At 36.0% G+C, this 20763-nt stretch overlaps 1 protein-coding gene across 5 annotated transcripts in view, besides 2 other annotated features; it reads left to right on the top strand.

Moving 5' to 3' along the window:
- NOC3L (NOC3 like DNA replication regulator) overlaps positions 1-20763 on the top strand; it is a 48033-nt gene that overhangs the window by 979 nt on the left and 26291 nt on the right. For 3 of the 5 annotated variants that reach the window (XR_002957007.2, XR_007061982.1, NM_022451.11), the window contains exons 2-14: positions 89-296; positions 3746-3878; positions 4630-4787; positions 5370-5426; positions 6868-6998; positions 8904-9065; positions 9558-9651; positions 11673-11848; positions 12583-12711; positions 15405-15536; positions 17028-17108; positions 17446-17546; positions 20216-20288. Coding sequence is in view for 3 of the 5 variants with exons in the window: in NM_022451.11 (NP_071896.8) it covers positions 89-296; positions 3746-3878; positions 4630-4787; positions 5370-5426; positions 6868-6998; positions 8904-9065; positions 9558-9651; positions 11673-11848; positions 12583-12711; positions 15405-15536; positions 17028-17108; positions 17446-17546; positions 20216-20288 (1635 nt within the window). In the remaining 2 variants the exon portion in view is untranslated. Of the gene's footprint in view, positions 1-88; positions 297-3745; positions 3879-4629; positions 4788-5369; positions 5427-6867; positions 6999-8903; positions 9066-9557; positions 9652-11672; positions 11849-12582; positions 12712-15404; positions 15537-17027; positions 17109-17445; positions 17558-20215; positions 20289-20763 lie in introns of those variants that run through there. The other 2 variants (XM_047425640.1, XM_047425641.1) reach the window with 2 other exon arrangements.
- Positions 2684-3349: an enhancer, noted in NCBI's record as "H3K27ac hESC enhancer chr10:96118369-96119034 (GRCh37/hg19 assembly coordinates)". NCBI's record gives its function as "activates a minimal SCP1, AML or CMV promoter by ChIP-STARR-seq in primed H9 embryonic stem cells {active_cell/tissue: H9 hESC(primed)}" and the evidence as "EXISTENCE:reporter gene assay evidence [ECO:0000049][PMID:30033119]".
- Positions 3350-4015: an enhancer, noted in NCBI's record as "H3K27ac hESC enhancer chr10:96117703-96118368 (GRCh37/hg19 assembly coordinates)". NCBI's record gives its function as "activates a minimal SCP1, AML or CMV promoter by ChIP-STARR-seq in primed H9 embryonic stem cells {active_cell/tissue: H9 hESC(primed)}" and the evidence as "EXISTENCE:reporter gene assay evidence [ECO:0000049][PMID:30033119]".

Genomic DNA, 20763 nt, shown 5'->3' with positions numbered 1-20763 from the left:
GGTCTAATGAAATTTGTAATCAGTTCTCTTTAACCTGATTTAAAAAATAAGTTTCTGGGTATGCAGTATTCTTTCTGTTATTTTCTAGAGAAGAAATAAAAAACAGATCCCAAGCTTTCGCAAGTTAATAAAAACTAGTAAAGTCAAACTTGAAAACAAGCTAAAAAATAAGCAGTTTAAACAACAAAGCACTCTCAAGAAGTACCGAAAAGAACAGAGGAAACTAAGGCAAGCTGTGAAAGATGCTGTGTCTAAGAAACCCATTCCATTGGAGAACCCAAAGGAAAAGCGACCAGGTAATTGTGAAAACATCATGTGCTCTGGTTTCCATTGATTTATTCTGAAGTGTTCTTCATGGAAATAACTTTGCTTTCTAGTAATCGCTTTTCTTGTTCTCAGATCTTCCTAGAGTGGGTAAGGATAGTAGTCCTATAGGACTGCTATAAAGCATATATGCTTTATCACAGTCAGTATGAGAAAACATTTCAATACAGTATTCATTCAAGCTTCTGCTTTTAGTTTGTCTGGAAGGCAGATCTGAAGATGCACTACTTGGGAAAACAAACTGAAAGTACTCCGTTACATAAATATTGGGCAGTGTGCCAGTGCTGCCACTTTGCCATTCACCAGCAGTTAGGTAAGGTAAGAACATTGCTTGTCTCTGGTTCATTCTTCACAGTATTGCCAAGGTACACTTCTAAACTTCTGACTTTCTTTTCATGTGGAAACTTGGGGTGAAATTGAGTTGTAATTGTCATGGTTATTTTGTAAAACTATCTAAAAATTATTAAGTACTCAAAACTTGTAAGGAATATGACTATTTTGAGTCAGGCTAGTTCTACAACTTTGCTGGTACTTTTAGGGTATTCTTATTTGACTATATCAGATTATTAGACAACTATTCAGTCTTCTCAGGTCCATTTTTTAAAAATTATTATTATTATTTTAAATAGACAGGGTCTTGTTCTGTCACCCAGGCTGGAGTGCAGTGTGCAAAAATAGCCCACTACAGCCTTGACCTCCTGGGCTCAGGCAGTCCTCCTGCTTCAGCCTCCAAAAGTGCTGGAATTGCAAGGGTGAGCCACAGCACCCAGCTAAAGTTTTTTTTTTTTCTAATTTTGTGGGTACATAGTAGGTGTATATATTTATGGGATACATGAGGTACTTTGATACAGGCATACAATGCATAATAATCACATCAGAGTAAATGTGGTATCCATCACCTCAAGCATTTATCTTTGTGTTACGAACAATCCAGTTATACTTTTTTAGTTATTTTAAAACATAAAATAAATTATTGTTGACTATAGTCATCCTATCTATCAAATACTAGATCTTTTTCTAAGTGTATTTTTGTACCCATTAACCATCCCTACTCCTATCTCCTCCAACTGCCTTTCCCAGCCAGTGGTAACCATCATTCTACTCTCTTCATGAGTTCAGTTGTTTTAATTTTTAGCTACCACAAATAAGTGAGAACATGTGAAATTTGTCTTTCTGTGCCTAGCTTGTTTAACTTAGCATAATGGCCTTTAGTTTCATCCATGTTGTTGCACACAGGATCTCATTCTTTTTTGTGGCTGAATAATACTACATTGTGTACATGTACCATATTTTCTTTTATTATTATTATTATTATTTTTTTTGAGATGGAGTCTCTCTCTGTTGCCAGGCTGGAGTGCAGTGGCACGATCCCGGCTCACTGCAACCCCCGACTCCCCAGTTCAAGTGATTCTCCTGCCTTAGCCTCCCGAGTAGCTAGGATTACAGGCGCACACCACCACATCTGGCTGATTTTTGTGTTTTTAGTAGAGCCGGGGTTTCACCATGTTGGCTGGGATGGTCTTGATCTCCTGATCTCGTGATCTGCCCGCCTTGGCCTCCCAAAGTGCTGGGATTACAGGCGTGAGCCACCGCGCCTGGCCCCGTATTTTCTTTATCCATTCATCTGTTTATGAACACTTAGGTTGTTTCCAAATCTTGGCTCTTGTGGATAGTGCTGAATGAACATGGGAGTGCAGATATCTGTTCGGTATACTGATTTCTTTTTTTTGGATTCATGCCTGGCAGTGGGTGGGATTGATGGATTATATAGTAGTTCCATTTTTAGTTTTAGTTTTTTGAGGAACTTCCAAACTTTTCTCCATAGTGGTTGTGCTAATTTACATTCCCACCAAGAGTGTATGAGAGTTCCCTTTTCTCTACATCCTTGCCAGCATTGTTACTGCCTGTCTTTTGGATAAAAGCCTTTTTAACTAGGATGAGATGATATCTCATTGTAATTTTGATTTACATTTCCCTGATGATCAATGATGTTGAGCACCTTTTCATATACCTGTTTGCCATTTGTATGTCTTCTTTTGAGAAATGTCTATTCATATCTTTTGCCCATTTTTTAATGGGATTATTAAATTTAGAAGGCTCATTTAAAGTAGATAGGAGTGCCATTCTGTGCAGTGTGTACATTTATATAGCAAGATTTACTAGGGTCTTTTTTTGTTTTTTTTTTTGAGACGGAGTTTCACACTTGTTGCCCAGGCTGGAGTTCAGTGGCGATTTCTGCTCTGCTCATTGCAATCTCTGCTCTGCTCATTGCAATCTCTGCCTACGGGATTCAAGTGATTCTCCTGCCTCAGCTTCCCAAGTAGCTAGGATTACAGGCATGTGCCACCACGCCTCACTAATTTTTTGTATTTTTCGTAGAGATGGGGTTTCACCATGTTGGCCAGGCTGGTTTTGAACTCCTTGCCTCAAGCAATCCACCCGTCTCGGCCTCCCAAAGTGCTAAGATTACAGGTGTGAGCCACCGCGCTCAGCCAAGATTTACGAGTTTTAATGGGTCAGGAAGAATTGTAAGTTCTACTAGGAAAGATGCTAAGATTGTTTTATTCATAGTTGAATCCTCAGCACTTCAAATAGTGCCTGGCACTTAGTTGACTTTTTTTTTTTTTAAATAAAAAGAGGAGATGGAGAAAGAGAGCAAGACGCAGACAGTGAGCAGAAAGAGAAGTTAGAATGATCTGTTGTTGGGATTTTGTTAGATGTGAGTGCCTGAAGTGTTGAAAGAAAAATAGTTGAGGATATTGGCAAGAGTGTGGTTGAAGTGATAATCTTGCAGTCTAAGTGAGGGAGTGAAGACAGAACACACAGGTAGATAGAAAGTGGAGTGGTCAGTGGATTGAAAGGTTACATAATTGGTTAAGGAAGAAGTGCTGTGGAAGTAACTGAATGGGAGCTGGAAGGATAAAAGCTTGTGGTCAGAGAGAGGGGTGAGCACTAGGGTTTGGAATGTGGCCATTAGAGAGGCTGGCTGAAATGGAATACGAAGTGAAAGTAATTGGAGATGAGAAGGAGCTGAGGGGCTAAGTCATTGGTTTCCAAACGTCCTGAAAGGCATTTCAGAGTATGTGGAGACATTTAGTTTTTGGTTGTTACAATAACCTGGGAATGCTATTGGCATTTAGATTGCAGGAGTCAGAGATGCTAGCATTTTTCCAGACTCAGAACATCCCAGTACGACAAAGAATTGTTTGCCTAGCATATCAGTAGTTCTTCCATTTAGAAGCACTGGGCTCAGCTGTGAGCCATGGCCCACTCCCTGTAATCCCAGCATTTTGGGAGGCTGGAGTGGGAGGATTGCTTCAGAAAGCGTAAGCTTTTCCTGTTTAAACCCAAAATGCAGAGAGTTCTACATCTCTGATACTTGTTTCTAATTTTTCTTTGTGTGTGTGTGTGTGTGGTACAGGTAAAAGGATTGAGAGGGAAGAAGAGGAAGAAGAAGAAGCCCTTCCTTTAGATATGATGGATGAAGATGACTTACAGTTAATGAAGGATTTAGGACAAAGAGTATCTTTTCTAACAAGAGATCTTTCTTCTAGGTAATACTTCATTTGGGTTATAATCATTCATATCCATTTAGTGTTAAAAACTTGGTTCTGAATTTCACTTAGGTGGTTCAAGGTGTTCACCTTTGAGCACAATGTTTACAAAGAATAAAGTATTATTTAGCTTATTTCCTAAATAAAGGAGGTTCATGTATAAGATAAGCTGATTTCATTTAATGTACATCTTTCTTTTGAGTCTGAATAGTCAAGTAGAGTGAATGGGGGAAGAATGCTGTTCTCACTTTGAGGTAGTGGCAGAACAGTTCTGAGTTCCTACGGCTATGATTTCACTTAATCCTCATTACCCTGCTGGTAGGTCTTATTCCCATTTCCAGAGAGGAAACTGATGGTTCCCTGCAGTCACAAGTATCTGGAATTTAAAGTTGGACCTTTTAAACTCCAAAGTCTATGCTATACTCTAAAGATTTTGGGAAAGTAAGAGTCACACTTGGTTTTATGAACTGTTCTTCATAAAGAATCTGCTGTAACTTTCACCTTTATTTTGCATCTAGAGGGAAAACTGGATGTAGCCAAAGTTTGAGTTTGTATGGTAGGTTGTTTACCCATTTCTTTTATTCATTTGCTGTTTGAGTGCCTGCTATGTGCCAGACACTAGCCTAAGTGCTACTATCCATATACCTATTGAAAGTTGGCTGGTGGTTTTTCTGTACTTTTGAAATGATAGGTCTCTAGATAACTTTTTAGATCTATTAAGACTGAAAATTGATCTTTTTTTCCCCTGCAGTGAGCCTGTTCATGCGAAGAAACGGAAGCATGAACGCATTATAGATAAATATGAAAAAATACCAAGAACTCTGCAAACTGCACCAGAGAAGGAACTGATTCATTTACTTCCTATCAAAGATAAAAGTGGTATAATCCCACAGACTAGGGAGAAGCCAGGTGAGTCTAATAAACTGGTAATATTAGTTGAACTTTTACCCCCTTACTGATATCATGTTTTTTTTTCACTCAAAATTTAATTTTACTTTGATTTTACCCATATCTAGAAAATATTCAATTAGTCTTATAGCAAGCTTGATGATTTGGGCCAGAATTATAGATTATCTCAGGTACCAATTTGTACTGTGAGGACAACTGAAGCTACAAGGTTCAGGTGATTTTCTTTTCACTAAATTTTGTTGTTTCTAAAATTAGAGCATATTAACTGTTCTTGATTAGCTTTCTTTTTTAATGTATCTTCTTTTGTATGTGAAATAAAACAGAAAAGTTCAGATATCAAAGATGTGAAGTTACATGGTTTATAACAAAGCGCATACCTATAAAACTACTATTCAGACAAGGAAAAAAAACTACTGCTAGCTTCCAGAATCCTCCCTTGTGCTCACCTCAATCACTAATTGTGCTCTTCCCATAAAAGTAACTGCTATCCTGAGTTTTATCGTAATCACCTCCTAGCATTTCTTTACAGTTTTTACCACTTAAGTATATATCACAGTTTTAATACATATGTTTTCCATATAGTTACTGATAGTAACAAAGATGAAGAGGATCAAGAAGAAGAGAGGGAACTTGAGGAAGGTAATATGTCTTTACAGTTACTAAATTGTTAATTGAGAATTTTTTTGCATAATAGTAAATGTGAGTTAATTTTAGATGAAATCTGGAAGGTACATTTTGGAGTACTGCTCATTTCAAGGTCACTTTGAACATTTTTCCACATTTGAAAGCTTCATCTTGTGGAATTATTAATAGATTCTTTATTTTTTTGATTATGGAAAAATTTACACAATCATATTTGTAATATCTAGGCATACAAGAAGTGTGTCTTGTTAATTATTACTGTTCTGAATTCCTTTTAATTGTAAGAGAAAGACTACTTACAAATAACTGTTAACTTTTTAGCTTTAAATTACAAAAGCGATTCTGTAGTATGAAGTCATTTTGGTTTGTTTCTAGCACAATTATACTTGCATATGTTTCATATAATTGAATGTCAGTTTCTATTACCTAGGACCATTTAATCAAAGTTGAACTGAAATAATGCATTTTATTGTTTGAAATTATATTAGTTTGGAATTTGTGACAGAACAATCTAGTTAAATTTTACTTTCGCTTAGCAGACCTCATTAATAGCAAAAATGAATTACAGGTCAACTGTTTAACTGTTTTCAGTCACCCATCATAAAACCATTACAGATTATGCTAGTGTTGATTAAATCTAGTTCCCTATGAATTTCCTAAGGTGGACATGTTTTTCTGTAGCCCAAAACTATGAAGTATTAGTTTGTATAAAGTAATATATAGTGTTAAAAACAAAGGAGAATATTCTGTACTTAAAAAAAAACTAAATAGGATTATCCTATTTGTTAATTAATATGAATTATTTTGGGCTTATTATCATAGAAGCTAAGAATATGAGCTCTAGGCTGGTTGCACTGGCTCATGCCTGTAATCCCAGCACTTTGGGATGCTGAGGTGGGAGGATCACTTGAGCCCAGGAGTTTGAGACCAGTCTGGGCCACATGGTGAAACCCCGTCTCTACAAAAAACACAAAAATTAGCTGGGTATTGTGGCTCACCTATGGTCTCAGCTACTGGGGAGGCTGAGGTGGGAGGATCAATTGAACCTGGGAGGTGGAGGCTGTAGTAAGCTGTGATAGTGCCACTGTACTCCAGCCTAGGTGACCAAGTGAGACCCTGTCTCAAAAAAAAAAAAAAAAAGTTCTAGAATCAGACTGCCTGAGTTTGAATCCTATTTTCCTTTGGTTTATGAGCTTGAATCCTATTTTCCTTTGGTTTATGAGCTTAGCCAAGTTATTTTCTCTTCCTTTGCTTCAGTTTTCTTATCTATAAAATGGGTCCAATGATAGTACCTGTATTGTTGAGGAGATGATGTGTAGTAGTAAATACAAAATTCTTAGCTGTTGTCATTATTATTATTACTGTAAAAATATTTTATTAAGATTCTTGGATACTTGTAAGCAGAGGAATATGTAAGGGAACATCTAATCTGTTTTAGAGATCATTGAAGATCCTATTCAAGAGCTGACCATAGAAGAACATTTGATTGAGAGAAAGAAGAAATTACAGGAGAAGAAGATGCATATTGCAGCCTTGGCATCTGCCATATTATCAGATCCAGAAAATAATGTAGGTAGTATTAATTTCTTTAGGCTCTTTGTATTAGGTATGGTGTAAATGCCTAATTGTTAAGATTCCCTTGTTACCTATAAGCATACACTAAAAGGAAAAGCATTAACTAAACATAGTAGCTGGGTTAGAGTAAGAGAGTAGACAGAATCTTAGCTTAATGCTATGTCTGAACTTAATTTCTTTTGTAATCCTAGAAAAGTTACTTAAACTCTCTGAATCTTATTCTCCTCATCTTCATATATGAAAATACTGGACATCTTATAACTCTAAAAATGTTTAAATTTATAAAATTGTATTAGGGAGGAGGAACCTGTTTGCAAATTTGCTTGACATACCCGTGGAGTTTTTAAAAAGCGCGCTACAGGGGAAGTGTATGGAATTAGTTCAGGAATATTTGTAAGTTGAAAATATTTTAAGTGAACTAGAGCCAAAGTTAAAGTAAAGTGTTATTGTGCCATGTGTATAGTCGTTGAGTTAGTGATGGTTATAACACATGAACTAGAGAAATCTGAGGTTTAATCTTGGCCCTGATAAGTACTATCTGTGAGACTTTGGGTAAGTTATTTATCCAAGACTCTTTCATCTCTAAAAAAGGACAGTGTCTTTTTCAAAACTTTGTGGTGAGGATTATATGATGAAATATACGTGAAGTCATATAAAATGATACTATTATTATTGTTATGCTGGTGTCCCCAGCATACTATTATAACAAGTATTTGTTTATGAAATGATAGAATAGCTTATTTACATTTATAGAAGCAAATTTCATGTGGGAATGCTTTGGAGTAGTACTTGTCCTTTTCTAATGAAGTGAGGGGAAGATCTAGAGCAGAATTAGGGAAGAGAGATTTGGAATATTTCTTATGTGTATTCTCTCAATCATTACAAAACCATAGGCATAAGAGATTGATCTAATTTTACAGCTGGAAAATTGAGCCTTAAAAAACCCAAGTGATTTGTTCCAGATTTTAACAGCCACTGGATTGGAACCCAGATCTTCTACTCAGGAACCTGTGCTCACAGACAATAGTAGTTCATCAAAGCAGTCGAAACCATCATAGAAATTATCTTTGAAGCTCAAGTTAATGTGGCTATATTACATGTAATTCCTGATTAATTCATGTGTATGACTGATATATTTGGTTAATGTATATAACATTTTAGTATATTTTGAAAAGCGTTTTTAGAAGAATAGGACACACGTACTTTAGGAAAATCCAGCAAAAAAGAATTTCCCAAAATAGCTAAATAATAAATGTAAACTAATTTTTTAAGGTCTGTATGTTTCTAACTATATGACAAAAATATGATTACTGATATAGTTTGGAGGTGTGTCCCCTCCAAATCTTATGTTGAAATGTGACCTCTGATGTTGGAAGTGGGCCTGGTGGGAGGTGTTTAGATTATAGGGGTGGATCCCTCATGAATGGCTTGGTGCCATCCTTGTGGTAACAAGTGACTTCTCACTCTGGTAGTTCATGTGAGAGCTGGTTGTTTAAAAGAGCTTAGAACCTCCCCTATCTTTCCTGTGACACCCTGGCTCCCCCTTTGCCTTCTGCCTTGATCGTAAGTTTCCTGAGGCCTCACCAGGAGTAGACGCAGGCACCGAGCTTCCTCTACAGCCTGCAGAACTATAAGCCAAAATAAACCTCTTTTCTTTATAAATTATCCAGCCTCAGGCATTTCTTTCTAGCAATACAAGAACGGACTAATACAATTACTTTATGACTTTAGTGACTTATCTCTTGGTAAAGTGAGCAGGGTCTGGAGTTTGGTGTGGCATGACTAGACTTGGAGTCATTGTGTGAATTCCGCTTGTTTTGCCGGATGTGGGGCTGTTGTCTTTTGTTCATAATTGTTTCGTCATGATTTCTCCAGCTTTATAAGCTATTTCTTTAACAGATTAAAAAATTGAAAGAATTACGTTCTATGTTGATGGAACAAGATCCTGATGTGGCTGTTACTGTTCGAAAGCTGGTAATTGTTTCTCTGATGGAGTTATTTAAAGATATTACTCCTTCATATAAAATCCGGCCCCTCACAGAAGCAGAAAAATCTACTAAGGTAATGCTAGATTGCTAGATATAATTACTATCTAAAATAACTAAACATTTTGGAGAGATAGACTTTTTTTTTTTGAGGCAGAGTTTTACTCTGTCGCCCAGACTAGAGTGCAGTGGCGTGATCTTGGCTCACTGCAACCTCTGCCTTCCGGGTTCAAGTGATTCTCCTGCCTCAGCCCCCTCAGTAGCTGGGATCACAGGCATGCGCCACCAGGCCCAGCTAATTTTTGTGCTTTTAGTAGAGACGGGGTTTCCCCACGTTGGCCAGGCTGGTCTCAAACACCTGACCTCAGGTGATCTACCCGCCTCTGCCTCACAAAGTGCTGAGATTACAGGCATGAGCCACCACGCCTGGCCTAAACGACTGCCGCGTTTTTTGTTTTTTGTTTTTTTAAATAGTACTGGGTGTATACTAGACACACATATTTTATACTAATTTTGGGCTTTTAATGTTCTGATTTTAAAAAATGATTGACCTTTTTGGTCTTTTCAGACCCGAAAAGAAACCCAGAAGTTAAGAGAATTTGAAGAAGGCCTGGTTAGCCAATACAAGTTTTATTTGGAAAATCTGGAACAAATGGTTAAAGGTATATTAAACATATCTTCAAAGTTTGTAACATACTTAGCCTTGATCATGAAGGTGAATTCTGTACAGTGTTCTGTGTTGTGTAGTGAGAGGCAGGTATGGTCAGGAACAGAATCTAGAGTCAGACTTCCAGGGGTCAAATCCTGGCTCCACCACTTACTACCTATGTGATGGGAAAATTACATAGTCTTTCTGTGTCTCAGTTTTCCTGTCTAAAAAATGGAAATAATTATAGTACTTACCTTCCAGGATTATTGTAAGAAGTAACTGAGTTTGTAGATATGAGGTGCTTTAAACAGTGCCTAGCATGTACTATACACTATATTTTATCAATTATTAGTATTATTGCTGCAGTTTTTAGTAAGTAGTTGTATTTTTGTTGACTACAATGCATTTAACAAAATACATTGTTATGAACAGTTGGGATTTATTCTGCTGTTTTTTATTTGGAGGCATGGTAGTCAGGGAAGAAGGATAACTAGAGGCCAGGCGTGGTGGGTCACACCTGTAACCCCAGTGCTTTTGGAGGCCGAGGCAAGAGGATTGCTCGAAGCTAGGAGTTTGAGACCAGCCTGGGGAATGTAGTGAGACTCCTGTCTCTAAAAAAAAAAAAAAAAAATTAGGCATGATGGCCCATGCCTATAGAGCCCCAGCTACTGGAGATCTGAGCTGAGAGGATCACTTGAGTCCAGAAGTTTGAGCCTGCGGTGAGCTATGATTATGCCACTGCACTGTAGTCTGGGCGATAGAGTGAGACCCTGTCTCAAAAGAAATGAATAAATAAATAGAAGGATAACTAGAAATGGATATTTGCATGTCTTGAAAATGGATTTATGAGTCAATTATTTGGGATGATAAACTCTTAAACTCTTCAGAAAAGGAAGGACATAGAAAAAATAGGGGTAGGAATAGGGAAGACAGTTGTTGCCTAGGCCAGGTGTTTTCATTTGGCCTAATTGGCTCATTTACCCAGCTTATTTACTAAGATCACCCATTGCTGTCAGCTGGAACAGGACCACTGAATCCTGTTGGCCTAATAAGGGCATAAAGGTAGTGGAGTATAGTGGGGTGGGGGTGGGTAGTATGGATATTGCTTCTATGTTCTGGTGTTCCAGCTGGCACCCTATTAGTGTTTGTTCTTCCAGTGAGAGGGCCTGGGAGTTTTTCTTTTGTTTTTGAATTTCTGAACTGTTTGGAAAGCTCCTGGGATCTTTGTGCAACCATCTCTGTCTGATAGAACTATAACATGAGCCACATATGTCATTTAAAAAAAATGCAGACACACTAAAAAGCAATGAAATTAATTTTAATAGTATATTATATATATTCAGATTATCATTTCAACATGTAATAAATTTTAAAAATTAATGTCTTACATTCTCAGTTTTTTTTAGTACTAAGTTCAAATCTGGTTTGTATTTTATACTTAGAGTGTATTTTATACTTAGAGTATATCTTAATTTGTATTAGCTGCATTTCAAATGCTCAATTGACTCCTATATGTGGCAGTTAGTAGCCTCCATATTGGACCTTTCCTGAGCAGATCGAACCATTATGAAGTCTTTTTTTCTTCTTCTTTTTTTTTTTTTTTTTTGAGACGATGTCTTGCTCTGTCGCCAGGCTGGAATGCAGTGGTGCAGTCACAGCTCACTGCAACCTCTGCCTCCCAGGTTCAAGTGATTCCCCTGCCTCAGCCTCCTGAATAGCTGGGACTACAGGCGTGTGCCACCCACCATGCCTGGCTAATTTTTTTTTTTTTATGTTAGTAGAGATGGGGTTTCACCATGTTGGTCAAGATGGTCTCAATCTCCTGAGCTCGTGATCTGCCCACCTTGGCCTCCCAAAGTGCTGGGATTACAGGTGTGAGCCACTGTGCCCAGCATATGAAGTCTTTTTTTAAGGGGTGTGGGAATGTGTGTGTGTGTGTTTATGTGTGTTAAAATGTACATTGATTGTAAAAGAAAGCCAATTAGTTTAACTTTTGACCAATGAGTAAAGTAACTACAGTTATCTTTTGATTAGATTGGAAGCAGAGGAAGCTGAAGAAAAGTAATGTAGTTTCCTTAAAGGCATACAAAGGACTGGCAGAAGTCGCTGTGAAGAGCTTGTGTGAGCTGTTGGTGGCACTACCTCATTTTAACTTTCACAACAACATCATCGTATTGATTGTCCCTCTCATGAATGACATGTCAAAATTGGTGAGTTGCTGTAAATGGTTATTGCTGTCCTCCTTAGAAAATTATACACCATGTGGGCCAGGCACGGTGGCTCACACCTGTAATCCCAGCACTTTGGGAGGCCGAGGCAGGCAGATCACGAGGTCAGGAGATCGAGACCACCCCAGCTAACATGGTGAAACCCCATCTCTACTAAAAATACAAAAAATTAGCAGGGCGTGGTGGCAGGCGCCTGTAGTCCCAGCTACTTGGGAGGCTGAGGCAGGAGAATGGCGTGAACTCAGGAGGCAGAGCTTGCAGTGAGCTGAGATTGCGCCATTGCACTCCAGCCTGGGCAATAGAGCGAGACTCTGTCTCAAAAAAAATAAATAAATGAATAAAAAAAGAAAATTATACACCATGTGATTTTTTTCCCCCTACAAAATTCTTCTGAAGTTATTTATTGGTAAAATAATGTCAATTTATTAAACACTGTCTATCTGAAGAAAATTATCTGAACATAAGTTTGGTGTAGTGGTTCACAACAGGAAGCAAATTTGTCCCCCAGGGAACATTAGGCAATGTCGGCATACATTTTTGATTGTGATGACTGTGGTGGCGATAGAGTCTTAACTACTGGCATCTAGTGGAGAAAGTCCATGGAGGCTTTTAAACATCCTAGGACAGTCCCCCTACAACAAAGAATTCTGTTACCCAAAACGTCAGTAGTGCTAAGGTTGAGAAACACTGGTTAAGTATGACATTTTATTTTTCAGATATCTGAAATGTGTTGTGAAGCTGTGAAGAAACTCTTTAAGCAAGATAAATTAGGCCAAGCTTCTCTTGGTGTAATTAAAGTGATTTCTGGTTTTGTGAAGGGCAGAAATTACGAAGTTAGGCCAGAGGTGAGCCTTTTTTTTTTTACTTTGCATTTTGTTTTTAAATTACAAAGTTGATTTTCAGTTGTTATGAGGAATTTATTCCTTATAAGTGTATGAAGTAAAAAGTATTCAAGCTCCTTAAGTGTTTAACATGTCAACTCCTGAAATGTTTGATACTATTAACAGTTCGGTATTTATCCTTCTAGATGTTTTTCTTTGCAGATATAGTCATATATACTTGCTTATATTTTAAAATAAAAAATGGGCTTATACTTTGAAAACTGTTCTGGAACAGTTTTCATTTTCTATATTGTGAACTTACATATAGGGTTATCCCATTCTTTCTAATGCCTACCAGAGTATTCCATTGTGTGCCCTAATTGTTGAACAGCTGAGTTTTTTCTAGATTTTTGCTGCCACAGTCAGTGTTGAGAACATTTTGGCCATATTATTTTTTCATATTGTGTGAATATTCTGTGAATTAAATTTATAAAATGTAGATGCTGGATCCAACAGTAATCACATTTACAAACTCAAATTGTTGTTCAAAAACATTTAATCACTGTGTTCCTGCTAGGAATATGAGTGTCAGTTCCCTCCTACCTGCTCAGAATGTTACTATTTAATCTTTGTTAGTCAGGTAGGTGAAAAGTTTATATATATATAAACTTTTTTTACCTGCTTATTATTTGTCAGTTTTTCTCTTAAAGTAATTGTCTTAATGACTTGTGATGAGTTTTTAGTACATATTCATTTTAATAAATAACTGCTATGTGCCAGGCACTTTTTTTAGGTCCTGGGAATAAAATAGTAACAAAAGAAACGAAACTATCTGTTTGTGGAGCTTGCATTACATAAAGAATATTAACTCTTTGTTACATAGGTTGCAGATTGTTCTCTTTTTTACTTTGCCTTTTAATTCTGTGTTCAGCCTTATATATGAAGCTATATTTTTTGTTATGCACATAGTCTCCTCAATCCCAATTTACGGAGTCTCTCCGAGATTTTTAATTTTAATTTTTATATTTAAATATTTAAACCATTTGACATCTTTGTATGTGTGGTATGAGTACAGATTTAATATCTGTGTTTAATATATGTAATGAATATATATTTTATATAGTTTAATATATATTGAATATTTATATTATGTATATATTTGATATAATCTGACAGCCAGTTATTTCATCACCATTTTTTTTCTGCTGATATAAAATGCTGCTTAATTATTGTGTTATATCTATAGTATATTTGGGTATGTGGTACAATAATAATCAGAAAGGGTATAATTGATAAAAGACATGACTATTCTTTTTTCTCCACAATATTCTTATTTATTTCAGTATATTACTCCAGGCAGTTTAGAATCCATTTTTCACTTCCTTCCCTCAAAATAGTCCACACAGAGAATCTGATTAGAATCGATTCAATGTATTGATTAGTTTGGATGAATTAAAATATTTACAGAATTGATTTTTTTCTATTCAAGAATATCATATCTTGCCATTTATTTAAGACTTCTTTTATGTTCTTAAGTAAAATTTTATAGTTTTCTTCACTGAGGTCTTAGATATTTTAATTTGTCTTTAGTAATACAGTTTTGGGTGTTAAGCTGTTCTACCATTTTATTTCTGGATTTCACAGTTTTCCTTTGGCATCAGATTCCTTTTTATTTTCTTAAATCTGATTTCAGTTGAATTGCTAAAATTATAAACATTAAATGAAAGTAACAGAGCATATTTAGCATCTTTACTTAGAATTGTAGAGCAATCAGATAAGGCTTGAACATGAAACTCAGCCATAGGAAAACCCTTTAACTTTCGTGATGCTAGAGTAAAAACTACATCATTTGATTTGGAGTTATTTTTCGTTGGTAGGTGATATTTTGAGCACATACAGTACCTACAAAATATTCAGAGTTGGTCTTTCTGATACCTAGAATGACTTCAGGTTCACTCTTTATGCCTTTAGTTATTCCTTGTTTCATTCTGTGCTTTTAGCCGTGTAATCCCAAATACTCAGCTTTCTTCCAAATGTGCATATTGGAACATCAAAATAATACAAACCTGTAGTTCTCAAGGTTTTTTCCAGGAATGCTGCTGTGCCTGCGGGAGGTCGGTAGGGTGATTTCATCCAGAGAAAGTGTAGCATTTTAAACCCCTTTTGTTCTTAGTGTTTGAGTATGCGAAGTTTGCTGTATCACACAAAACACCAGTTTCCAAATTAGTTTCTGAATTTTTGAATGGCATAAAGCAATAATTTTTATTTTTGTCCCCAGACCAGCATCAGCTGGGAATTAGAATGCAAATTCTGGGGCTCAACTCAGACCTACTAAATCAGAAACTCTGGGGATAGGGCCCAGCAATTTGTGTATCTTCTCCCATACTGGTCCAAACCTTTTCCTGGCCTGTTTTCTCTTTGTCATCCTGTTGGCATGTGTTCTCTCTTCCTTATACTCATTAAACTGCAAAGAAAGTTTTGTATATTTAGTTAGTATTTGCTAGCGTCCGTTTTGTATGTTTGCTCCCGTCCTTCCATAGACACAAGTTATTAATATAGCATACAGATAAAAGAAGTTGGTGTAAAATGTTATAAAAGATGTTTGAAGGTTTTTTCATGAACGAGGGAAATAACACTGTTAAATGCTTTTCTATGTAAAGTTTTTGAGGGCAATATAAATATTAAGCTGTATATTTGTGTTTTTTTTCCAATATTAGATGTTAAAAACATTTTTATGCCTAAGAATCAAGGAAGTAGAAGTGAAAAAAGATACAGAAGACATTAATAAACCAAAAAAATTTATGACTTTCAAAGAAAAGAGAAAATCTCTATCAAGAATGCAGAGAAAGGTTTGACTTATTTCCCCTTTTGTTTCATTTAAATTTTCTGTTTATTTGATCTTAGATTAAACTTATAGGCACATGTAAAAATCATAGTTAAATCATAAACATAAAAGTTTTGAAATACATCATTTAGAGAATTTTATCTTTTCCTGTTACTGCAAAGAAATGTTTTCTTAAATCAGTTTTAACTGATAATGATTGGCAAGGAGAGCAATAGATGAAAAGATATTTTTGCCATGCTGGCTTTTATCCTTTGGCTTTTTAGATCAATTTAGAGTTATGATACACAGATTCCTTCCTTAACAGAAAAGATGCATTCACGTGAAGTTGGCAGCAAAGTGAGTTTCTGTTAATTGAATCTTGTTTCTTTGTTGGTTTGTATTTTAAACTTGGGTTGAAATTTCAGCCGCTTGTTTATTTACTGAAACTTTGGAAACTTTATTTATTTATTTATTTATTTTTTGATAAACGGGGCTAATAATAGTACCTACCTTGCAGGGTAATCGTGCAGGTTAAATGAGATGATGCATATAAAACACTTGGCAGGCTTTATAAACCTTAGTTTTAGTACCACCACCATCATCACTATTATTGTTATCATCACATCTCAGAACATTTCTAAACAGTTTATTAGAGTGATCAAGTTGCTTGTAAAAACAAAAGTAATCTCTGGGGATATTCATCTTTGAATGGGTCTAATTTTGAAAACATGATGGAAGTATCAAAATAGACTTAATAATTGTGAACAAAAGAAGATACATATTTTAACTATTTATATTATACTATCCTAATGCAGGTTGGATAGCTCTGTTAGGAAGAGCATGTGTATAGATGAGGTGAGGAAACAAAGACCAATAAGAACATGGCAGCTCTTTAACAACTTCTCATGAGAGAAGGAAACAATTTTTCAGTTCCCTGTGCCTCAGGCAGCTTAGAAATTATCATTTACTGCTCTTACAGCATTAGGTAGTAGAAAAAAAAGGATATTTTATTGAATTTCTTTATAGGGCCCAGTTTTATGCATTGTATGTAAATGTGTTGGGGAAGTATTGTTGGTGACTGGCTTCCAAGTTATAGATGATTTAATCCTAGCCATTATTTTTGGGCTCAACATGTTCTTTCCTTTTTTTTTTCTTTTTTGAAAAACTTTAATAATAGAAAATGATAGCATATCCCAGATATCTGCTATTCAGAATGAGCAAATATTAATAGATTTACTTTAGTTTTTTTCCTGGAAAAGAAAGAAACCATAGGTGAGAGAGTAGGAATTTCTTTTCTCTCTCCAATCTCATTCTTCTACCTTCTTCCCAGGAGACACCATCTTTAATTTGGTTTGTATATACTTCCCGTCCATGTTTCTCTACTTTGTTTATATTTGCATTCATAGACAACATGTGGTATTACTGTATGTGTTTTATGACATTTACGTATTCTGCCTCTGCTTTTTTCACTCTGTGGTATATGCTCTTAGATTTTTGTTTTTCAATCTATTTTCAGTGGAAGAAAGCAGAAGAGAAACTAGAGCGAGAGCTTCGAGAGGCAGAAGCTTCAGAGAGTACTGAGAAAAAACTTAAACTGGTAGGCAGTTTCATATTCTGTTATGCTTTTAAAATGCGTTAAGTTGTTTAAACTAGAAATTTATTGTTTCAGCTTGTAGCTGTGTAATTTTGGTTTCTTTCATGAGGCTTAGATGTGTGACTTTTGTGATGTGCGGGAAACTGTGATGTGATCAGTGCTAGTTTTATGCAGTCACAGGGTGTATATCTTCATTCTGTTTTGTTAAAAATTTCAAAGATTGCATTGTGGGGAGGGATGGGTAGGGAAAAAAGTTAACCTGTTGAAGTGATACTTATGCTCACTCAGGAGAAAGCATACCAGGTTATCCTAAAGTCATTTTGTCTGTCTCCTCTGCCAGCACACAGAGACTCTGAATATTGTGTTTGTAACCTACTTCAGAATATTGAAGAAGGCCCAGAGGTCACCTCTCCTGCCAGCAGTTCTAGAAGGTCTTGCCAAGTAAGGGCTGTGTAGGTTGAAATCTTTTAGATTCCTTCTAAATAGGAAAGACCAAAGAATTTTCGAGAGTTCCCTAATGATGGCCCATTATCCTCAGTTCTCATTCCTTTTCTGATTGTCACCAGCCTTTACTTGAAGCTATTCATAACAGTGGGCTTTTTTGATTTTCTCATCTCAAACCTTTTATTTTTAAAATCTCCTTTACCAACTCCTTCTTTCTGCCTACTAAATTCTAGGTGTTCCTAAGGTTAAATCTCTCAGTTCTTGACTCTTTCTGCACTGTGTAGTCAATTGCCCATCGTCATAGTTTGAGTGGATCATGCAGATGACTCTTAAGTCTATTTTAACCCGGCTGTACATCATTTCTCTAGTTCTGTGTAATGTGTTTCTGCTAAGATAGATCTTTTGGTGTATTCACTCAACACTAATGGCCTTGTCAGGATGTGAGCTAGAGTAAGGGTTGTGGTTGTCATGATAGCGTTCCACAATTTTTTGAGGTGGTATCCTATAGAACATTGCTATTCGGTAAAAATATAATGTGAACTTACATATATAATTTAAAATTTTCTATTAGCCACATTAAAAAGATAAAAAGAAACAGGTGAAATTAATTTTTATATATTTTACTGGATTTGATTTATCTGAAGTATTTTAACACAATATTAAACATTAATGAGTTGTTTGGTGTTTTTTCATAACATATTTTCGAACACTTATATTTTACGCTTGTGTCTTAATTTGGACTAGCTACATTTTAAGTGCCTAACAGCCACATGTGGCTAGTGGCTACCATTGTTGGGCAGTACAACTTTAGGAATAGAGTTGGAAATAGGACTGATGGCTAGAAGATATAGAAAAGGCAAGTTCTGTTTATCATAAGAAATTACTTTCTAATAACTGGAGCTATTTGGCAATGGTATGCATTTCCTTATATGGTGATACGGTCCTTGTGGTTAAAAATCTTCAGAGAGGCTGGTCAGAGAAGGGATTATTCCTACATTGTGTAGGACTTGCTGTTTTTATTTTTGTTTTTAAATAGAGACAAGCTCTCACCATATTGCCCAGGCTGATCTTGAACTCCTGAGTGAGTCATCCTCCAGCCTTGGCCTCACAAAGTGCTAGGATTACAGGCGTGAGCCACCATGCTCGACCCAGCTATTTGTTTTTTAATAACTAATTCCTTTATTTAAAAAAGTTTAAAAAATAATATATGGTCATTTAAAAAATTTAAATAATGCAAAAGAATATACAATTTAAAATTGCAAGCTCCCCCTCCTATATATGTATGTAGTCTGTCTGCGTGCCATCTGCCACCTTTTTTTTTTTTTTTGGAGACACTGTCTTGCTCTGTTGCTCAGGCTGGGTTGCAGTGACGTAATCTGAGCTGACTACAACCTCCACATCCCAGGTTCAAGCAGTCACCTGCCTCAGCCTCTCGAGTAGCTGAGACTACAGGCATGTGCCATCACACCTGGCTAATTTCTGTATTTTTAGTAAAGATGGGGTTTCCTCATGTTGGCCAGGCTGGTCTCGAACTCCTGACCTTAGGTGATCCATCCGCCTCGGCCTCCCAAAGTGCTGGGATTACAGGCATGAGCCATCGCACCGGGCCTGCCTGCCATCTTTCATGCAAATGGAATCATGCTATGTTTAGTGTCCTGTAACTTGCTTTTTTTTTTTTTTTTGGTTTTGTAAACAGTTACTTTTGGTACCTCTCCCTTATCACATATATATCACTTAATTTTTAAAAAATTTATAGTGCTCCATTTTATAGATATATTGTACTTTATTTGGTCAGTCGCCTATTTGCACTGGGAATACTTGCGCACGTGTGTGTGTGTGTGTGTGTGTGTGTGTGTGTATCTTCATGCATGTGTGTGCATGTAGTGCCAGATCAAAGGGTATGCTCATTTTAAATTTTGATAAATAATTGTCAGATTGCTTCTCCAAAAAGTTGTACCGATATGCATGGAATATGTCACTCATAAGGTCTTTTATTCTTCTAAGATTTACATAGATCAAAGACTTCTTGCTAATATTGAAGAGATGTCCTGACTTTAACCTACTTCAGTGTCTACTATAGTATATGGAGTAACTCTCAAATTTAGCAGCTCATATGATTCTTCTTTAACCCTATTGGGTGGTCTCAGTTATTTCTACAAATAGAGGCCCAGGACAGTGAAGTGAGTTACCTAGGATCACGCAGGTAATTAAGAGCAGAGCCTGAACTAGATACTGGGGTCCAGTATTCTTTCCATTTTATCCTTAAAGCTGTCATAAGGTCCATATTCTTGTAAGTAGCAGAATCTTTCCTTGTCTCTCTTCCCACCACCTGTTTTCTTAGAAGCCGATCCTGCCGGATACCTCCTAAACTTTCCTCAGGAAGTTGTTTGCTTCTAGTAATTTCTTTCTCAGTGCAGAAGGATTTTTGAAATATTTTTGGTTTGTTCAGTGCCTTATATATTTCTACTGAGTTTAGTGTTCAATGGTGTATGAATTGTTGAAGAGGCCAATCTGAATTAATGAAAAGTATCAATAATTGCCATGTCTTTCATAGCTAACATTTCGAAATAAAGAATATTAAAAATACAGTTTTAAAGTCAAGCTTAATTTCTACCAGCTTTATTTCTGCTTTTAGTTCACTGATTAACTGTTTTGTTTGATTCCAGGTTTGCTCACCTTATAAATGTGGAATTTTTTGATGATCTGTTAGTAGTTCTTCATACTCTCATTGAGTCTGGTGTAAGTAATAATAAATTATTTTTTAAAAGATATAAATGGTAATTACTATTTTAAAAATTTTTCAGGTTTATTGAGATATATTTTGTATACAGTAAAACCCCTTTTAGATGTACAGTTTATGAATTTTGACAAAGGCCTATGATCATATGATTACCACCACAGTCAAGATGTAGAACGTTTTCAACCATTGGAGAGTTTTAAGCAGGAGGGTTGTCTGACCTGTTTTCTTTTTTTTTTTTTTAAATTGATGCATAATAGATGTACATGGTTTCAGGGTATATGTGATAATTAAATATATTCATATAATATAGTTTGTAAATATTTTACTTGGGATATCAGTCACCTTAAATATGTGTCTTTATGTGACAACCATTCAAATTCTTCCCTCCTAGCTATTTTGAAATAGATAATAGATTATTGTAAACTATAGTCACCCTGTAAATCTGCCTCATACTAGGTTATCTTAAAGATAACC

Source organism: Homo sapiens, chromosome 10 (genome assembly GCF_000001405.40).
Source record: "Homo sapiens chromosome 10, GRCh38.p14 Primary Assembly".
Taxonomy (NCBI): Eukaryota; Metazoa; Chordata; class Mammalia; order Primates; family Hominidae; genus Homo; species Homo sapiens.
This window is presented reverse-complemented; position numbering and strand designations above follow the sequence as displayed.